This window comes from Homo sapiens, chromosome 2 (genome assembly GCF_000001405.40).
Source record: "Homo sapiens chromosome 2, GRCh38.p14 Primary Assembly".
Lineage (NCBI taxonomy): Eukaryota > Metazoa > Chordata > Mammalia > Primates > Hominidae > Homo > Homo sapiens.
Window position 1 is genome coordinate 151,146,424 of NC_000002.12, and position 23,221 is coordinate 151,169,644.

Genomic DNA, 23,221 nt, shown 5'->3' on the forward strand with positions numbered 1-23,221 from the left:
TAAACACACCAGCCCTTCAGAGGGATACCTGCTGGGGAAGAAGCAGGGTTCATAAAGTACTCTGAGCAATGACAACCTCACTGAACTTCCTAGGGTGAGGAATCTAAAGGTCAAATCTCCTTTGGATGTGTTGATATGATTGTTTAAAAAGCCAGCCTCACTATTTCACAGACATATCCTATAATGTTAAGGGTCCATATAGAAGGAAACGAAAGTGACAAAATACTAAGATTAGTATCAAAAGGCTGAGTGTCCCCGGAGGCCTTGTCTGAGTCCCAATGTATCTGTCATTCTTTCTCTCAGCAAATGCATACTGAGTGCTTGCTGTGTGCCAAATATTGTCCTGGATGCTGCAGATGGATTGGTAAATAAATGGATGAGGCACACTCCATCAAACTATTACCCCATTAGCTCCATGAACAAACTGTCAGCACATCTCTCAAAACCAAGAATTAGCTTGTTTACATGAGGTTTCTAAATCTTTGTTGACAAATATTTCTACTTCTTATGTAAAACATTATTGAGTCATATGCAGAGATTGGGTAGGAGAAAGAGGTTGACAATGTATAAGTGGTAGGAATGTGTGAGAAATATTCGTAAGGCAAGTTTGAAGAGGGCTCCATAATGGGAAGCCCCATCATAATTCCATGTCCAGAGTTCACCTGCTTAAAATGCTAACAAGCCTTTAGGGAGGGAGAGAGTAATAACAGTCAAGGCCAAGATCCATAAGGCCAGAACCCTGAGGCTGGATACACCAGTCCTGGGAACTTAGCTTCTTGGTATGAAATATACAACTTAGTTCAAATTCATATACGAAATGAAACAACACTTTCACTTACTAATGATCACATGACCATACATATTACAGACTATACTAAAGCTCTCTCAAGCAAATAAACTATTCATTGAGGGTTAAACACATAGAGAAAAACACAATTAAGGAATGTTTTCCTTTTTTTGTTTTGAGACAAGGTCTTGCTCTGTCACCCAGGCTGGAGTGCAGTGGTGCAATCACAGCTCACTGCAGCCTTAAACTCCTGGGCCCAAGCAGTCATCCCACTTCAACCTCATGAATAGCTAGAACCACAGGTACACGCCACCACACCTGGATACTTTATTTTTTGTACACACAGGGTCTCATCATTTGATACCAGCCCAGGCTGGTCTCAATTCCTGGGCTCAAGTGATCTCCCTGCCTCAGCCTCCCAAAGTGCTTTGACTACAAGTGTGAGCCACTGTGCCCTGCCTTAGTTGTTTTTGCTTTGTTTTTTTTACTAAAGACATTGCCATTGCTCCTAGACAGATAAGATAAATTGGATATAAATAGCTTCATTTGGGGGCCACTTTTTCCTGCCATAATCACCTCACTTAACATTTTGCATATGTATGATTAGAAATGCTAAAATAAAATGTCAAGTATATTTTGGAAATTAGAATATAAAATAGGCAGCTGGTGACATTATGGTCTTAATGTGGCAGAATGACCTTTCCTTTTCCTATCAATGCCTTCTAGCTTTGCCTCCTCACTCCTTCTTGAGTGGGGTAGAGATGACTTAGGTGAAAAAGGAAATTAGATGGAAATGCCTTTAGTATAATGATTGTATCAGTCAGGATAGACAAAAGTATGCTGTGGTGATAAATGCCCCCAAGAGCTTGGTAGCTCACAGTTACAGTGAATAAAACAGCTGATTGAAAATAGAAAATTTCTGCATTTTCCCCACTTTAAAGCCATACATTTCCAATAATTTCACATACATCAAACTGTAAATTTGTGTAAAATTTGTGTTTTATCAGGATATGAGCTCAGTATCTACAATTTTTAAAACTGGAATAAATTATTTAAAATGACCTATAGTTGACAAAGGTTATAACAAAATGATATCTAATGCCAAGTTCTATGGCAGGAAAAGTGGTACAAATTGAAAATGCATTGATTTCTTATTAAATTTTACATAGGAAGCATTTATGTAGCCCTTTAATGTCCGTTTCTTGTCTAAGATGATACGTTTTCATAAATGGGAATAGCTCTTTCATCAGGTTTACATCGTGTTCATACTTGGGGTTCATATTTTTCTCTATACAAATCTATGAAAGTACAAGTTTTTGTTCAAACTCATTTGAACCATGTCATTTGAAAATCTCATTAGAAGACGTGTAAGAGGTCACGGCAACACTCTGTACTGTATTTCTTGATTTGAAACCATCAAAGAGCCCTTTCCAGTATATATATTAAAATGCCCAATTATTCTAGAAAAATACACTTCTCTTCCTTATATTATTCATCATTTCTCATTTTCCAGCTTCCCCAAAGAACTCCACTGAATAAGCTCAAATTAAAAAATCAAGATAAAAGACTCAGCTTTTGGTTTCATGCAAACACATACACATTTCTTCTTTGAGTGCTTCTCAGCGCACCCTGGTGTGCAGTAACAAATAGCTAATAGTCATGAGAACATAGATAGGACTGTTCTGGTTGCTGCACAAATCCACTTTACGAAGTTGTCCACGGCTTTGAAAAGTATTTGAAACTTTTTTCATGCTATGTAAACCAATGACAAAATATGATCAAAGTTGCCTTTGGCACAATCAGAATATTTTACAAATATTTATTTGCTTTCTCTTCGTAAGTTAAGGAGATGTAGGCATTCAGATCATTGCAACTGAAAATTCTTTATTGAGCCAAATGTTTTCTACCAGCCTACAAAATATATTCATGTCATACTTCAAAACAGGTGGAAGTTTTCTGCATGTAAAATATAAGTTTGAGATAAAAGCCAAATTCCCTGCAATCACCAAAATTTTACATACTTCTCTAAACACAACCTGGTTGACTTCTTCCATTGTTTCACTTTGTACTCTATTTGCCACTGACCCACTTTGTAATTCTCAAAATCAGCAGTTAGGAGGATGAACAGTGGAGGAGTGTCCTCACTAAAGAGACCAATCCAAACTAATTGTAAAGGCTAACAGAAATGATATGAAGTGCCTACAGCAGAGGCAAAGGATAGGTCTGCTGTGGAGAAATAAGTCCAAGATCACTGAGTATTAAATGCAAAACGGATAACAATGTGGTGGGAGTGGAGAAAGCAAAATTCGTAACAAAGTGGAGAGAGCCATTCTTCCATCTTCTTTGAAGGCTTTTTAAGCAAAAACAGAGACAGAATCCTACCTCAATGTCACACTTCCAATGACCACGCCCACAGTGCTAATGGGAGTGTAAATTAGTACAATATTTGTGGAAAATTACTGTTACCAACCTTAGAAATGTTCAAAAACTTTTGTGAGGCACAGTGGCTCACGCCTGTAATCCCAGCTCTTAGGGAGGCAGAGGCAGGAGAATAGCTTGAGCCCAGGAGTTTAAGACCTGCCTGGGCAATATAGCAAGACCCTGTTCTCCACAAAAAGAAAAAAAAAAATGACAAAAAAGAGAAATTTTTTTTTATCCCTGTTGGATCAATTCTAAAAAGTCTATCCAATTCTAGAAAATCTATCTTAAGGAAACACTTCCAAATAAGGGAAACAGCCTTATGCACAAAGATGTTGTTTAGGAATTGATGATTTACCACAAACAAATGGTAAGAATAACACATGAATAGACCCATTAAATAAATTATTTCCCAAAGGAATATAGCCATTTAAAGTGAAACACTCTTGCCACAGGTAAATAAAAATGTTTATGATGAGTGAAAATGCAGCATGATCAAAATATATCCAAAAACTAATAAGCTAAAACTATGCCTAAGCAAAAAGTGAAATGTGTGCACGTTGGTTTTCCTTTCAGTGGTGGAGTAACATTTCTCCTTTTCTGTATTTGTCTTTAAAGAACATATATTACTTTTGCAATGAAGAATAATCTGACAAATGTTATTGTTACATAAATAAACCTGAAAACCCTCTATAAAAAGTTAAATGAGGACAAAACCCAAAGGAGGAAGTAGAGCGACAAAGTGATTATTTTCTCTCTCCCACCAGCTAAATATAGTACTGAAATGTTGATCCGGTCATTGGGTTTTCCTACTTCTAATGAGGGGCCTGGCACAACTCTCTATGTAAGGATCTTTATTATTCAGTGCAGGCTAGCATTCAAAGCTCACTTGGCAGAGTGGATTAAACAAGGAGGCTGCACACATTCCTCAGTTTATCAGCAATTCCACAGTGACATGCATTTTCTCTTTTTCCTCTACTCATGAATGCTAAAACCATCAGCTGTGCAAGTCTCCCTATTACCTGTGTGCTGAGGGCTAAGAGGCCATCTTTATAACCCTCTCCTGATGGTGGGCAGGCAGCTCGGCTTCACAGCACTTTACTGTTTACTAGTAAGGCTGGTGGGTCAGCCAAGAGCCAAGAGTTACATGAGCAATTTCTTTGAATAATGATTAAGAAGGGGTGTGTGGATATGAATAGATGAAAGAAAAACTAAATTTTATCTCTTTCTAGTGAAAGAAGGCCAGCTTAGCCACAATTTAAACATCAAAGTCAGTGACTATTTTTAAAAGCTGAAAATTCCAAGCAGTGATGGGATTCACTTGGTTTTTTTTTTTTTTTTTAAAACAGAAAAGCTTAACTTTGGCAAATGGAAGCTATATCCCTCTTTATTTATTCTACCCATCCTCCTTTCCCTGTTCCTTTTGAAAAGCCCTATGGGGCCATATTATGCTGTCAAAATATAGCCTCTATCAGACCATTATCAGGCCATAATTAGTTTCCTTTGGTTTGGGGTCATTTCATTTGTTCAAAAACACTAATTTTAAAACCAGGGCAGAGATATCTGGTTGACTCTTTGTTTGTTGTTTGCTCTTGTACAGCTGACCTAGAAAGCCCTTATCTGTGTTATTAAAAGGCATTATTCTGTAATTCAGCCACTAGAATGCCAGAAGTTACAGTGCTTACTTGTCATTTGGGGTATGACCTCTCTGAGCAAGCAGACAGTTGATACAAAGGAAAAACAAATGAATATTTCCTGTAAAGGAATATTTTATACCTCTTCACTCAGAGCCTGACAACGTGGGTGCTCAAAAAATATTTGATGAGCCCATGAAAGGTGTCTCGTATTGTCTTAAGATCATTTTGTAGACAAGAACCATATCTTATAAATTCCTTTGTCTCTTCCAGCACACAGCACAGCTATGGCTTCAGAATAGGTAGTTAATCGATATTTTTAGGTAAATAAACAAAAAATTATTTTTAAAGTAAACATATAAATCCTGCTAAACAAGTTTTATGCAAGCTACCCAAGAATACATTTGTCTCTTTGTCTCTACTTTCTGATATCCAACTGATTTTCATACACTGATATCCAATCCTTCTCTGTCTTTTAAATTTCATCATACACTATGACCCCCCATTTATACCAGCTTGAATGGAATTTTATCTTGAGTGTGAATCATTAAAAATTATAACTCATAATGAGTCCCTCTCATACCCCTCTTTGTGAGACCTCACGTACTATAATAAACACACCCTGCCACCCCTGTAAAGAAATGCATTAGCCCCAAGGCAATATCAAACCACCACATACACAGCTAAAGGAATCAATAGTCACCTTACAATTGGATTTGACCAGAAGCAAAGCAACTATTTTTTCAAATCTAATTTTTTTAGAAAAGGTAGTGATAAAATAAAGCTGATTATACAGACATTTAAAGTCCATCTGAAACCTCCCAAAACAATTTTGTCTGTAAGACAGTAGTGGCACAATAAATATGGTACCATATAAATATATAGCATAATGCATTCAAGTAACTTATATAGTCATTTAGAGCCATGGATAATTTCTCAGGGCTCTGTAAGAAAACTGACATACTACATAACTTAATTATCAATGCTGTACCCAAGACTCAAGGCAAATACTACCCATCAATAAGAGGCAGAATTGGGAATTAGGTTTGTCTAGGGAAACCTAGTGGTTCATTGGAAGTTCCGTCTGGCAGACCTTATTTAAAAAAAGAAAGGAGGAAGATATTAAAAACAATCTAGTTGGACTGGAAACTTGAATAAAACATCTTGGAAAAATAAGTATGTCCAGGATATCAGCATTTCTATTAGATTCGGGGAACAAAATTTTGGTGGTTTCAGATTACTTCAGGAGATTCAGCTTGTGTGAAAACTACACTCAGTCTTGTCTTTAAGGTGCCATTTGGCTTAATCAGACCAAAGCTTTTCTCCTCAGCTTCATTCTGTTGCCCAACTACAGCTTCTGCTCATGCTCTGCTTCCCTGAGAAAACCTAAGTCCTCGAGATGTCTCCAAACAAGCTACCAGTCCTCCTCTTTCCTGTCAGACCTCCTCTCCTAATTCCCTCTCCCTCGTTCCCTCCTTTCTGCCATCGCAGCCTCCTTGCTGTTCTTAGCGTAAACTAGGCCCCATCCCACCCCTGGGCCCTTGCAGTTGCTGTTCCCTCTGACCAGAATAGTACCAGTCTTCATGCTGCTCCTACATGGCTTCCTCCCTCACCTCCTGCTCAAACAGCATCTTCCCATTACACACCCTCTGATGCCCCTATCTAATACTGAAGCTTCAAACTCACTCTCTCTTTCTCTTATCAAGATATAAGCTCCATTAAGGCAATAATTTGTTGGTTTTGTTCACTACTGTCTTCCAAGAGCCTAGAAGACTGCTTGGAACATAGGCTTTCACTAAGTATTTATTGAATAAATAAAGGACTAGATGCTAGTTTGAGGTTAATTGATTTGCTTTAAATCTCAACTGATAACACATTAAGTTTGTTTTCACATGGTTTTAGATACCAATGCCAAAATAAAATGTAGATCAAACCTTATCTCTCCAACCATAACAGTGATCATCAATGTTTCATTGAACAATGTCGTTTTAAAACCTATGCCCATTTTATGCATTTGTTGAGGTTACCGTGCTGGGGGAAGGGAATGGAAGGAGGTGTAGATGAAATAAGAATGGCAGATGTTGACAGCTGTTGACTTTGGGTGGTAGGGGCACAGATGTCCATTATGCTACACTGTCTGCATGTATACATTTGAAATGTTCCATAATGCAAAGATCTTTTAAAAACTTATATTGAAGTCCCTTTCCAAATCGAACTGGGAATAAGGAAAAAGGAGATTTACAATTTTCATGCTAGCCTGTAGGCTATTTGTTATATAATGTCTTTCTTTATGTCCACATTTTTAAAACTCTGCACTTTCTTCAAAAAATTTGCTCAAAAACACAGCCTCTAGGAGTCAGAATTCCCCTAGATAGATGTTAGTGGCTTTCCAGCCTTGAACAAGGTCTTAAAACCATCAAAGTATGAGGCCAACCACAGAACACCCTGTTTGGAAAGAAGGTTTGTAGATCATAGCCTTGGGAGGCAGTTAAGGGATGCCACTCCCAACTGGGGTGAAAGCAGGTAAAGGCATGTTGTGTACACCTGCACAACCTCCTCCTGCTGCCTGGAAGGGGAAAATAGCCCTGATTACAGACCCAGCTGTGGCAAGCCAGTCCTCCTCCTCCTGACTCATCTCTCAAAAATATAGCCAATCTACAGCTCCAGGAATAGCTAAAAATCTTTTACAGATAATGACAGATTTTTGCATTAAAAAAACTTTTTGGAACTCTAAAATAGTCCTGAAACAAATGGAACTCAGTGCTGGGTTTTTGATATTCCTTTTAAGATGTCTACAATCTTTAAAATTCAAAAGACACATGATTTTACACAAGAAATTTTGTCTGTCTTGCAACATGGTGATCATTCAACCTTGTTGATGTGCTTTTTAATTTATTCAGAATATGAAGTGTGTTTTCGGGCTGGGAGAAGTTCTAGCCTCATAGTTGCAGAAACACATATCCTCTGAAACAGTCTGGAAGTATATATTCCAGTTCTCATCTGCTTAAATATAATCAAGTGAATTTGACATAGCTTAATGATTCTACTGTGACCCCAATCCATTCACCAGCCACAATTTACCAATTCATTAAGGCTCTAACTTGAGTAAAAACAGAAACATCTTAAGCCTCAAGTCCTTGATTCCTTAGCCAGATATTACATAGCATATGAGTGATATGAAATTTTCAAAAATAAACTATTTGAACTGGAGGTTTTAAAGACTGGTAACTAGCAACAGCTCAATGAGGTTGGCTATATCTGCTGCCCACCTTACATATTTGTCATAAACAATTGCAGAAAAATAATTTTCCAATGCAGTAAGATATTAATTCAACAAAATAATATATTAACTCAATAAAAAGCTTTTTGTCACCATCTCACACCCATTAGGATGACTACTACACTCACAAAAAAAATTAATAATAATAACAAGTGTTGGCAAGGTTGTGGAGAAATTGGAACCCTTGTGCACTATTGGTGGAAATGTAAATGGTGAAGCCACTATGAAAAACAGTATGATCGTTCCACAAAAAATTAAAAATAGAATTACTATGTGATCTGGCAATTCCACTTCTGTGTGTATACCAAAAACAATTGAAAGTAAGGTCTCAAAAAGATATTCGTATACCCATATTCAGAGCAGCGTTATACACAATAGCCAAAAAGTGGAAGCAACCCAAGTGTCCAATGACAGATGAAGAGAAAAACAAATCAGCCTTAAAAAGTAAGGAAATTCTAGACATTTCTTAAAAGAAGATATACAAACATCCAAAAAAAAATGAAAAAATGCTCAATATCACTAATCATCAGGGAAATGCAAATTAAAGCCACAATGCAATACCACCTTACTGCTGCAAGAATGACCATAATCAAAAAATCAAAAAAGTAATAGATGTTGGCATGGATGTGGTGAAAAGAGAACAACACTTTTACACTGCAGTGGGAATGTAAATTAGTACAACCACTATGGAAAACAGTATGGAGAGTCCTTGAAGAACTAAAAGTAGAACTGTGATTCAATCCACCAATCCCACTACGGGGTATGTACCTAAAGGAAAAAAAGTCATTATATGAAAAAGACACATTCACACATGTTTATAGCAGCACAATTCACAATGCAAAGAAATGGAATCAACCTAAGAACCCATCAATCAATGAGTGGATAAAGAAAATGTGGTATATGTACAACACCATTGAATACTAGTCAGCCATAAAAAGGAATGAAATAATGTCTTTGACAGCAACTTGGATGGAGCTGGAGGCCATTATTCTAAGTGAAATAACTCAGGAATTGAAAACCAAGCATCGTATGTTCTCACTTATAAGTGGGAGCTAAGCTATGAAGACACAAAGGCATAAGAATGATATAATGGGCTTTGGGGACTTGCAGGGAAGTGTTGGAAGGGGGTAAGCAATAAAAGAATGCATATTGGGTACAGTTTATATTGCTCGGGTGATGGGTGCCCCAAAAATCTCAGAAATCACCACTAAAACACTTATCCATATACCCAAAAGCCACCTGTACCCAAGAACTATTGAAAGAAAATAATAATAATAATCACATTAAAAAGGAAGGAAATTCTGACACATGGCACAACATGGATGAATCTTGAGGACATTAAGTGAAGTAAGCCAGTCACGAAAAGACAAATACTGTATGATTCCACTTAGACAAGAAGCTTAGAGTAGTCAAAATCACAGAGACAGAAAAATAGAATCATGGTTGTTAGGGGCTGAAGAGAGAGGAGAATAGGGAGTTGTTATTTAACGGGTGCAGGGTTTTCATTTTGCAAGATGAATGGAGTTTTGGAAAACTGTTGCATAATAATGTAAATTACTCAACACTATTGATCTATTCACTTAAAATGGCTAATTTGGTATATATTTATGTTATGTGTAGTTTAACACAATTTTTAAGAAGTCAAGGAGGAAAAGAAAAAAAGGCTTTTGTCTATCTGTTGGATCAAAACCTTTAACTCCTATTCTCTAGTCTTTTGAAACCATTCCTGACAATAGATGCCCAGGTAGGCATACTTCTAATGCAGCACTAGATGATCTGCTCCAGGGATGCAGTGTAAACCAGTTGGGAGCACCTGTGTCTGGCTGCAGACAGCAGAGACGAATCTGTGGGTGGTGCCATTGACGAGGTGCCACTTTGAGGGAGAGAGAGATTGAATTTGGCTGTGTCCAATACCACAAAAGGCACTTGATTTTAAAAGTCCAAATCAGGGCTTTCAACTAACTTGACAAGTGACACATATTGTAGCAAGGTCTATCTTATCAGATGTACCATTCAGGGCAGAAAAATGTAATGGTATAGACACAACTTTGGGTTAAAACAAATGCGTCAAGAATGGTACTCAGACCACAGCTTCCTGCTGCCCACTCATCCTTGAGGCTCCTAACCCACCCACAGATGTACTGAACAACAACTAAAACCAACTATGGGATACAACCATAGAAGTCTGGAGCCAAAAGAGCTTTCTGAGATATCTGTCTCAAGAATAAAAAAGAAATTTTAACTTACGTGGCCACCCCAATCATTTGGTAATATCTGCCTTAAATGTGATGCTGGAGAAAGATTCTAAATCTACATCTGGACACAGTGGGAAATCATGCCTTGATGGGTTGGTTATGTCTGTCCAAGATTATTCAGAGACTGAAACGGAGCTGGAAATAAAATTACCAGCTGAGTCGGATCTGTTGAAGAGCAGAATGAATTCCCAAGTATGAAAAAGTAAGTCGGTAAGCTATAAAATAGAATTTGTTTTACATATCCTTGCCAAACTTCAGCCCACAGAATAGGAAATTACCTGGGGCAAAAGGTAATTCCAGCTGTGTTGAAGATATCCAAAACTCACTTCCTTTTTCTGGGGTAGGAGGAAAAAGGAAGTGAGTTTTGGATATCTTCTTCAACACAGCTAGAATTTTCCTAAGTGAGGTGAGCCTCCAGATATGAATGAGCTCATCAGAAAGGAGGCGGTAGAGAATCACAGAGGCATGAGGCCACCACGTCATGCCTCTATGAGGAAAACAAACAAAAAGGCAAATAAGAACAAAACATCCATAACAATATACGCTTTTTAAGAACCAGAAGGGAACTTAGAAACTTCTAGTCTAACTTTTTGTGTGTGACTCTTTTTTTTCATACAAATTGTCTCTTATCTCTGTTCTTATACTTATTAATTGCTGTTGTTTTAGAGTTTGTATCTAATAGCCCTGACATCTGGATCACATATGGATTTGTTTCTGTTTTTCCTTTAGTTTTGAATCACACGGTCCTGTCTTGCAGTATCCCAGTTAGCTCCTAATTATCATATTTGTATATGAAAAATTACAGAGGATATGCTAGCCTACTCCAGAGAGTAATTTTCTTCACAAAGGCAGTTAGACCAAAGACAGATCCAATTAGGAGCTGAGATGCTTTGAGACTGGGTTTCAGCCTTTGAGAGGGCTGGTCTATTTCTGGTTTGCTCTTTTTCCTGGGGTCTAGTCTCTTAAAAGTCTCAACTCAGGTGTTCACCATGGCTGTTCCTCCTTGGTTGGTTCTGAGCTCCAGTTTTCTTTGTGGTATTTTTGGGGGGTTGTTTGTTGGGTTTTGCCTCCCTAGCTTTTCGAGAACGCTGAAAACACTCAGATACCACTTCTTACCCAGCCTGTCATCCCTGCTTACGAATCAGCAGCAAATGTAGAGAGGAAAGTAGCAGAGAATTTCAGGATCACCTCAATGTGTTTCCCCTCTCTGTCTTGACTCTTCAAATGCTGGCTGCCTTGGTTGCTTTCTGATGACTTCAAATAGTTATAATATAAGTATATCTGTGTTCTTGGTGATAACATTCATGTGATAGAGGCTTTTGTTTTCGAGATGGAATCTCACTATCACCCAGGCTGGAGTACAGTGGGACCATCTTGGCTCACTGCAACCTCCACCTCCCGAGTTCAAGTTATTCTCCTGCCTCAGCCTCCCGAGTAGCTGGGACTACAGGCACGTGCCACGACACCCAGCTAATTTTTGTGTTTTTAGTGGAGGCAGGGTTTCACCATGTTGGCCAGGCTGGTCTCAAACTCCTGACCTCAGGTGATCCGCCCACCTCAGCCTCCCAAAGTGCTGGGATTATAGGCGTGAGCCACCGCGCCCAGCCTGATATGGGCTTTCTATGATACCCAGGAGCAGAAGTATATTTTAATTTTAATAGATTAGTTTTTCTACTACTGGATAGTTTCAAAAGTTATAATAAAATTGAAAAATACAGAAAGAAAACATTCACCCATAATTCTATCAACTTGACATACTCAATTTAGTATTTTGGTATTTTCTGAAATTCTTTTCTCCTATGCATTTGTGTTGGCCCTTTTACTTCATCATCATAATAGTGTGACTATAACCTTATATCCTAGCAAGAACTCTAAGGAAAAGTATATAATTGTTAAAGTGTACATTTCATTAGAACTCTTTATTAAACAATATGAGGATTCAAATAGTCAGGTGTAGTCTATGATACCAAAGAGCTTATGATCTAATTAAGGAGACACACATGAAAAACAACACTTTAAAGGTTTTCAACTCAATAACGAGGCAGAGTCTATTATCTAACTGTCCAATTTAGCAATAAATTATGAAATTACTTTCAACTTCTTCATAGACAAATGGCCAAAGAGAACTTTAAACCTAAATTTACATCACAGATAAAAGAAAAATTTAAAAAAACATGGATTTTCTAGGGTGCTTGCTTAAGCTTCTTTTGCTTAAAAAAAAATCTATAAAAATTATTTTCCTGTGCCTTTCATTTATTGCTTTTTCCCAATAGCAAATACCCTACATGTGTTTGTGAGCCAGTAAGCTTTTAGCTGACCCATATATCTAGTTAATTTAAGATCAAGCCACCAAGGTACTAAGCTGACCACAACCCTGACCCCTGAGAAGCTGTTATCCCGTGAAGTCCATGTTCTAAGGATAGAATTTCACAGTAGGGATTTTCTACATCTATGTTGTAGAGAAAATTATTTGTGGTATAATAGATTTTTTTTGCTAGGCCAACTGAGTCAGCACTTTGTAGTGTTAACATTTAATCCCTCTTCCCTCTTAGGTTTTTGATTCACACTCGTCCTGGAATCAAGGCAGGCCAGCATGATGCCTTGGAAGTCATTCTTTGGGCCAGAGAGGACCAGGGAAGGCTCATGACATTTCTAATTCTTTTGCTGCCAGATCTGATGAGCAGCTGCTTTCAGAGAGGTCTCCACCTCCAGGGTGCTTAAACTGCTTAGCCAACAAATCTGTGAAGTCATGCATACTGTAAACTGGCTAGTGTGCATGAATCTAAAGATTTCTCAAAAATGGAGTGTAATGTCCTGCACATGTATCCTAGAACTTAAAATAAAATAAAAAATGGAGTGTAAAATTATGAAAATATTTGAAGCCAATTCATCCTTCTGAATAAAGTGACAGCTACTCCTATTTGTATATCCAAACTAAATGTCTTTATAAAGTCTGGTGTGTTATGAAGTTTATGTTTCAAAGAAAATGATTCATAATACCTTGAGTTTTATAATATCTATTATGTCAACATAAACAAATTAACAAGCCCATCAATGCAAGTAAATGATTTAACATGAATGAAGCTAAGAGGTATTTAATGTAAGTCACAGAGGACTTTGCAAGGGATGTAACACTTTTTTATTCTTATTTTGTATAATTTCTGGATTTCTTCAAAATGTATGTAAACTAGCCCTTTGACACTTACATATTCCCAGACATTCAAAAATTCCCAGCTTTTGAGAATCTTTTTGATACCTCCTGGCTCTCTTCCAAATTATGTTTTCATCATAAGCCAACTTTCCTGGACAGATCTTCACATCACTAAAGTTTTACCCTCTCACTCAATGGCTATTTTCATACACACATACACACACACACACACACACACACACACACACACAGACACACACCCCTAATGTGATATAAAAATTAGCAGAGCACAACAAAACTTTAAAACTATATTGATGTAAAGGTGATGGACAGCTGTCTAGGCTCACCAGGAAGCAAATGTTCAGCTGCCACCTACTACCCTGTCTCCAACCTCAATTCACACCGTTCCAAAATTGCGATAACGTATATATCATGGACACCGAGATCCAAGAGAAATCACTACAAACTGCAAATGCCAAAGCCTTGAAGGATAAACATCAATTGTTATTGACTATCTGATGCTGATACAAAGCTCACAGTGCAGTATATAAATATTCTTAGGAAGGCTTTAAAAAGGCAGCAAAGGGACTCTGATGGCTTGAAATAGATTCACCATTCAGAAAAGGAGAACACTGTGGAATTATCAAAAGGTTCACTCTAGAAAATGGCTAGTACAAGTACAGAGATCAAATAAACAAGCCTTAGAGATTCTCAATCAAACCTACTCTTCCCTGTTCTGGTTGTGTCTTTGAGGGATCATTGAAGGTGGGTGTCCCACTTAATACTAGTATCATTCTAACATATTAGAACAAGCATCCCCTTTATTCTACCCACATTTATGGCAGACTTATTTCCATAAGCATTTCTGTAAATAATTATATCTTAAGTTCTTCTAAGAACTTTCTGCTGCTATAGCACCCAAAGAAAAATATTTCAATTTTTTTAAAGGTCATAAAAGGAACCCAAATAGAAAAGCACAGAAATGTAACAAGGATCATTTATTATACCAATAAATAAGCTTCCGTTTCCACAGTTGAAGTCACAGTCAAAGCCAGAAAAAAAGCTTGAGCAGTAACCAAGGAAAATGGTTTTCATTTTTTAGTGATTCTTCCTATTCCTCTAAGATTTTCAAAGAATCAGTAGAGTAATTCAAATAAACCACAGAAAGAAATGGGTGGCAAATGACAGTGATGGGATTACAGCATGGTAGTTGCTAGAACCTAGAATGTAATGAAATGAAATTTCAGTTCCATAGATTGTAACAATATAGGAACTGCTAACAGGTAGCATTAGACAGGCTTTTCTCACTAGCTCAAAGACTCAGCCAAATGCCTGAATCTGACAAATTCATTTCCCATCTAGAATTTTTTTAATCTTTAAAAATCTAAAGACATGTAAAGGGAAGAAGTCTTCTAGTGTAGATTGACAAAAACCGTGCATTTGAAATGCAAGGGAAGAAAAGCTTTCCTTTACCCAGTGTTTGCAGGACTAGAATACTTTGAGGAAGTATCCAGGTGTACCCAAGCTTTAAGAGTGCAAAAGCCTTTTGCATTCACCCTGCTGTTCTTTGCATTTAACATCTGTCAAGTATCAAGGAATGAGGACAAAATAAAAAGGAGATAAAGAAACACATCCCAGCAATTTGTTTAGGCTTTACTTCTGTCCAGCGTTGATTAGAAAATGCATGGTACCACTGTCTTTCTCTGAGTGGCTGACAATTGAGTAAATAAAATGGGGAAGAGAATCTGAACATGTGCTCAAGGAGGAGGATTTTTTAGACCTGGGAACTTTTGTGTGATGATTGGTTAATTCTTGTAAAACAAGGAGTTTAATAACGAATTCCTGATGTTTATGTCACACGATGTAGCATCCCAGGAAGCCTGTCATGGAGCAAGTCAGTTCAGCTCTCTGGGCCTCAGCTTCGTATATACATAATGAAGACAGACAGATCATAAACCCCATCTTCAGTCTTAGCTCAAAAAGCCCTTCAACCTGTAAACAGGAAAGACTCTTTTATATGTGTACACAGGGCTAGGTATTACCACTGTCATTCCTTCTAAGTCAAAACCATCCCTTGGATTCACGTCCCCAGCAGCCTAACAAAAGCAACATATGTAATTCATTTATGATTCTCATGAGTGAAGTATACTAGGTGGGAAATTATACACTAGGATTACATGGGCAATTAACCAGCTTTGTCAATTGAAGTAATGACAGCTGTTAATCATATCTTTTAATTCTTCTCTATTTTTAATGTTATTATAACCCTTATAACAATTTTTCTGATCGCTTTACTTTCTCCTAGTCTTTTTTTTTTTTTCCTTCAGAAAATCCTAACTGAACTCTTTGTGACCTTCTCTTATGCTTGATAATTTTCCCCCTGGTAACTCTTGCTTCATTTCATTTCAGCCTTCTAGTTTCCTGATTCTTCTAGCTCCCTCTGCTGATTGTAGCCAATTTGCTTTCAGGGTCTAGACAGCTATCAAATAAAAGTACTAACTCACACTCCTGCTCTGTAACCTTCACTGACAGGAGAAAAGAATGCGTTATTTGGTTGAATTTGGAGGCACCTTTCAGACTGTATAGTTCAGCCTTTTAGGAATAAGGAAACTAAGTTTCCTCAAATATGCCACTGAAAATAACTGAACCATATGATTTTTAACATCCTTCAGTAGTTAACCACTGCCACACAACATCTGGGGGACTCTAATGAGTTCTCACACTGATTTTAAGTCCATATCTCCAAACAAACAACATTTTTATTATCATCACTACCCCCTAAAAATTCTGGACAAGAGAATTTGGTTCAACAGCTGCTCTACTCATCAGGGTTTTTGGTGGAAAACAACAGACTCTCCTCTGGCTAATTTAAGCAGTAAGGAGATTTATTAGGGGATATTAGGTAACTTACAGAAATCACAGGGAGACTAGAAGTTCTGTTTCCAGGAAAATGCCCCCAAATGATGCCACAGAACTAGAGTAATAAAGACTCTGTTGCTAGTAATGCTGCTATCTTCATGAATTAAATTCCAGGACTTGACTTCACTGTACCTGCCACTACCTCCAGTACAAATGCTTCTCTTCTTACTACCTCTACTGCACCTGCAAGTCAGCTGCCTCCATAGCAATGTGTTGGGGCTCAGAAACCAATACCCCCAAAATATGGTGCTCTGACATGCTGAGCTGAGGAAGAAGCCTCAGGCTCTCTCTGACCTCCCCCTGCCTCACTCCTGTCTCTCAGTCCTGTCTCCCCCACAGTACAGGATAAAGTTGTTCTCTGAAGTGCCCTTATCTGCCTAAAGTCCGGACCCACCAAAGAAGAAACAATTATCTCTGGTCCCATCCTAGAGTGTTCACTAACTGAATTCATATCACAGGAAGAAAGCCTGAAGCCTGTCCACACACCTGGACACATGTTTGTCACAAATAACCAACTGTTCTGCGGGCCCAAGAGACTTTGTCCTAGGCCACTGTATGTGTTTCAAGCCCATTGAATTCCCTCCAAAAATCACCTACTATACCCCTAAAATCATCCATACTTCTCCATCTCCCTTTCCTTTAAGAAAAAAGGGTATACCCCTTTTCTACCCCATTGTGTGGTGGGGTAATCACTGTTATTTTCCCTGCGCATGTTAATAAATTTGTATGCCTTTTCCCCTATTAATCTGCCTTTTTTTGTGTTATTTTCAGTGAATCTTTAGAGAGCAAAGGGAAGTTTTCCCTTGGCCCTTACATAGGCAAACCAGAGAAGTCAGCATAAACCTGTTTCCTCATGCCCTTTCAAACCAAAGCATCACATAAGCATGCCTTATTGGAAGCCCAGCGTGCCACGCTTATGTCCTAACCACAAGGGACACTGAGACTCATAATATGGGAATTGCCCCACATATGTGAAGGCTATTCAAAAACGGATGGGCATCCAAAGAGCTCCCAAATGTGGATCTCAGGTGCTAAATGAAAAGCAGAATCTGAACCCCTTCCTGCTCCATTCCCCTGGTCTTGCCCATTTTATTAAGGCACAATTACATTCACAGATGATTCGGGTTCGGCAGTCAACAGAGAGCAAGAAACATTCTTTTTATCCAATACACATCCAGAGCAATACTGGGCACACAATAAGTGTTCAGCCAGACTTATCCAAAAATGGAATGCTTATACAGTGCTAAATATCAAGCATCTGCTATATCCAAGGCTTGTTTGGGATGCTGAAAGATAATACATTGATGAATTAAATATGGTCCAGTCCTCAAGGAATTTACAGCTTGGGAATAGGAAAAATATGTGGGGACTAAATTTAATATATCTTTACAAATACTATGCAATGACAGAAATATGTAAAATGTGCCAGGAAAACATAAGAGGAACAAGAAATTAATCCTCCCTTGAGTTAGAAAGCTGGGGAAGAAGTGTGACAATGTTCAACCCAAGGTGCAAAGAGTTTTATGGAGGAGGAGAAATTGCATTTCAAGCAAGGAGCTAGTGAGAGCTACAGCTTATAAGCACTTGGCCATGCCAAGCATTCTCCTAAACATTTCACATGTAGTAAGTCATTGAACTCTGTCACCAAACCCATGGGGTGGCTACTATTAATATTTGTGTTTCACACAGGATTTGGACATGGGTGTCCTGATTCCAGCATCTGGGCTCCACACTGTGACCCCCAACACTCATGCTGCAATAGCACGGGCACAGGCTCAGAGGTATGAAGAGCATAGTGCATTCAACGAAGAGCAGCAAGTTCAACAGCTTTAAGGATGGTTGCTGTATATAATGGTTTGGAGGTAAAGACAAGCCTGAAACATATAATCATCCTTAACCACTTTAAACATCACTTTTAATCAACAAGTATTTAAGACCAACGTGACTTATATTTGCCAGAACAACAGTGGAGGAGAGGAAGGTGAACTTTGTTTTCTTTTTTCAAATTTGGCAATAGAAAAATTAAACGCTGTGCTAAGAGACAGGAGTCTTTCTCTGTTCCTAAGTGCTCCTCCGATTAACTCTCGGCCTGCCTGAGCACGCCCAGCATGGGACCACCCTATCCCTCTGACAGTTTACACCTGAGGTGTCTTGGGTAGGTGCCTCTGTTCTTCATCCCTTACACCACATCCCTGGGACCACAGTTGCTTCAGATGGAGCACAGCAAATATTCTATTGAAGGCAAGTTCAGAAACCTTGTCACTTGAGGCGCATAAAGTGAAAGCAACCTACTTTTTTGAAAACCTCCTAAACAGAACCATTCCCCACTAGAAAAGAAGGATCAGCTGGTTTACTTATGTGACTCGGCCATCCCTGACGTCTGCGATCCTGTGATATGATTCCAATTTGCCTTCATGGAGGGCCATCTGCTGAATTAATTGTATGCACTCCTTTGTGCTCGCCTCTAATGTTTATTTCATTACAATATTTACAAAGGGACTTGAGAAATAAGTCACTATGCAAATGAAAGTATGAATACAAGATTCAGAGGAATATTAAAATTCATTAACCTTATTTACATTTAAACTATTATTATGTATATTTGAGCATGGTGCACCTGCCAGAATGGATGTGGGGAGCCACATCAGCAATCCATTGAATCATCTATTCACTGTCTTTATTTCCTTGTCAAGTAAAGTAAAAACTTCCTCATCTTGGACACATTTAAAATCACTACCAAGCTGATTTATTCATTAGTAGTTCTTATTTCTAGAGAAGTCTAATACAAATTTCAAGTTGTCCTTTGGCACTTAGAGGATCTACTCTTAAATAATTTTTCCGTCTTTGTGAATTTTGAAGTACAGTGTTTCTCTTATCACCCACTTAGAAATGAACTAGACCAAGCTTATCATTTTGGAGGCTGACAAACAAAGGCTCTACCTGCCTGACCACCTCCCCCACCCCAGAAACCTCAGTTCTATAAGAAAAGAAAAATTAAGAAAGAAAAACAATCAAACTGGTGGCTTTCTATTGTTTTCCAGTCCTTTATTCAGCATGGTCTTGATTCAGCTAACGTACGGGATCAAGTGGCAGGTCAAAACAGTAAGAGCCACCATGATAAGATTTGATGCCTTCTGTCCCTATGAGAACTGAATCTGCCGTAGTCCACTTGGCTTTGGGTTATGCAGCCAAAAAAGAAAAAAAGTGTAATCTATAACTGCTGTCTGACAGGGTAGATGCAATTAAAGGGCAAGCTTTTGTTCAACAAAAGTTGTTCAAAACAACTTAAATGCAAGTTGGCAAGTAGACATTGATGAGAGATCAACACAATAGAAGGATGATTTTCTGAAGATCCAAAGGAGCTCACAAGAAGGGAAGAAGCCCAGTGATGTACGTTGCAAGGTTCAGAAGAACAGACCCAAGGATATCACAGTTGAAAAGAGAGAACAGGGATTTCTAATAGACCACTGGTACCTTGTTTCTTCCGGGTTTGAGATATAAACACCTCCTCACCACTCCTCCACATATCTTCGTTAAGTCTGTATGTCCATAAAGGCTTTCTGGGTGAATGGATTCTTTGGAGGGCTGTAGAGACTTCCACCAAAGTCAACGTGCTGCCACTGAGTCAGCCACAAGGACTTGGAGCAGAGGACTTAGTGAAAAAAACAGACCCAGAGAATGTGTGGAAATCTAGATGCTTTGATCATCAGCAAGCCACGGAAATTGTGGGTTTGAGCAGTGGTTCTTGAGCTGCAACCTCCATCAGAATCACATGGAGGGCTTGTTAAAACAGATCGCTGGGCTCCACCCCCAGAGTTTCTCCTTTAGTAGGTCTGGAGCAGGCTGGCAAATCTGTATTTTTAGCAAATTCCCAGGTGATGCTGATACTGCTAGAATGGGGGAAACGCCTAGAGAATGTTCCTATCCAGCGCTGGAGACCTGGGGAGGCCTCAGCTGACATGACTTGGGGGACTATCACCTAAAAGCCCTGCCAACCAGAAGGCAATGATTCTCTGGTCTTGATGCATGTTTGAATCACCTGGGGAGATTTTACAAACTATAGAGGCCTGGGCCCACGCCTCCAGTTAAATAAGAACTCTTAGAAGTGAGAGACTAGGCCTTGGTATTTGTAAAAGCCTCTCCAGATAGTTGGCTGTATCAGCAGTATCAGGAGGCACAGATATAAAGTAACAATCAAGGACAAATTCCTGGAGAGCAGAAGCTGTGCTTTCTGGCACATAGAATTCAGATGTGAAGAATGGACAACCCCAGGCAGTGGGAAGACAGCAGAATTTTAAGGAATCACACCATAGCTGCCCACTGCAAGGGCACAAGGGCAGCAGGCAGTCAGGAGTGGAGTAGTTCTTTCTGAGAAAAGGCCTGGAGGTCAACATGCTTCAAAATAAGAGTAGGAAGGAGTAAGAGCTTTAGAAATGGCATCTACAAGGTCATCTATAGAGGAAATCGTTTACAAGTCTTTGCATTAGGCCATTTTTACATTGCTATAAAGAAATACCTAAAACCGGGTCATTTGGAAGCTTCCAATCACGACAGAAGATAAAGCGGGAACAGATGTTTCACATGGTGGGGGCAGGAGCAAAAGAGTGAGGCAGGAGGTGCCCCACACTTTTAAGCAACCAGATCTCGCGAGAACCCACTCACTATCACAAGGAGGTACTAAACCATTCATGAGAAATCAGCCCCAATGATCCAATCATCTCCCAACAGGCCCAACCTCCAACATTGGGGATTACATTTCTACATGAGATTTGGACAAAATCCAAGCTATATCAGACCTGTAGGAAAAAAGAAACTTATCAATCTCTTTAAATCTATATGTAGCAGTAATAACAACCATTGTAATGCCACGTGTATAAGTTAGAAAGTGGGAGCTGAAGAGAGATAAACTCAACAGGGAGAAAATATGTTAAAGATCCAACGGAGCTAATGTTTATTGTTTATGTGTGTGCATGTGTGTGTGTATGTCCCAGAAGGGTTGAAGCTAGGGCCTGAGGACATCTCACTTGAGAAATGAGATGCCGCTCCATCTTCTGTCTAGTTACATCTTCTGATGTGCTGGGAGCCCACAGACCCATAAAGGACATGAAGTGCATGGACCCTTGGGAATCCAAAGTCACAGACTTGTGTGCCCGCCTTGCAAAGAGGGCCCAAGTTGGCTAAATTATGTGGATCTCTATGGAGCAGAGCATTTTAGGAAAAAAATAATGGGGGTTGGTAGGGGGGGAATGGTGAGAGGAAATGCCTGGCCACCAAAGACAGAACCCACAAAAGTATCCAAGCATCTGGAGAAAGCAGTGGTTCCAGGAGTCTTTATTTGAATCACTTTGCATGCCCTAGAAATCCTTTTGTAAAGGAAATAGCCATCACATCAAGATTTTCACACTTTATTTTTAGCATAAAAACAGCCATCAACCAAAATCATATTGGGAATTGAATTATAATGCAGACAGAGACAGAGTTGCCCCAGAGAAAAAAGGGGCAAGTCCTGACTCCCACCCCAGACTCCCAAATTGAGGCTCCCCTTATTCCCTAATGCCATCCCTGAGAAGGCTTGTCGATCACTGTTTGAAACCCACAAGAAAACCTCATTAGTATTGTGAATCTGAATTTTTCACTCGGAAAGCTGATTTTGCTCTATACAAGATAAAAACAGAACTGTGGTGTTTTCATTGAACTCTGGCAAATAAGAGGTTAGGCTATTATTTGGTTTTCAAATGAGAGATGCCAGAGGAAGAACTATCAGCATAATTCAGGATAGCTCAAAGAGCAACACCAGGGTTGATATGGAGTGGAGCCTCCTTGTCCGGCAAGCCATTTCAGGCATCTTCATTTTATGCAGAAGTCTGTAGAGGCTGAGTAAATCACTGCTCCCAGGCTTGTCTTCTTGGTGTATTTATTTTCCTAAGGTCAAAGGAAGGTAGACTAGAAGTACGTTTACCCCTGAGCTCCAAAGTCAACCTGGCTGGAACCGAATCTTGTGGCATAAACACTTTTACAGCTGGGTGGTTTCATTATGAGATTTAAAACCTAGTATCACCAACAACAGAAGGTCTCTATAAAATAGGAGGCATAGCAATAAAGAAAGACAAATGAAAACGGGAATATATATAGGTGGCACATCTGGCCCAGATGGGTAAAATCTGAGCCCATCAGATGGCCCATTGGAGTTATCTTGATACCATGAACATCCCTGCTTCCCTTCACTCTGCCCTAGTATTTTCTAAATTGAATCTTTAGTCTACCTTCACGCACTTAATGCTTTTCTCTCCTCCCTACCCCAAACATCCTTTTTGTATAATCAGGGCTCCCAGCATAGAATCTAAATGCTGTGTCCTATCTGGGTATGTCCAACAGTGAAAATATTTCCAGATCCCAGGAAAGCTGGAGCAATTACTCTTACTTTTCTTAGCCATGCTTTCCCAGCTACACTATTCAAAGTTGTGCTTATTCAGGGTTGATAGTTAAAATATTTAATGATGGGACTTGAAGGGACATCCATGTTCCTACTGGCATCTGCCTACTGAACATCAATCAGTCCACCATTTAGGACATAGACTACTACAGTCTGGCATAAATATTTTGAATTCTCAATAAAACAATAGCGTTCCAGACCCCAAGAAACAGGGTAAAATGAAAGTTTTATTTTATTTTATATATTTAAGGTGTATAATATGATGTTTTGATATATACAACGTTATGTGTCACTAACAACAGGGATATGTTCTGAGAAACATGTTGGTAGGCAATTTCATCATT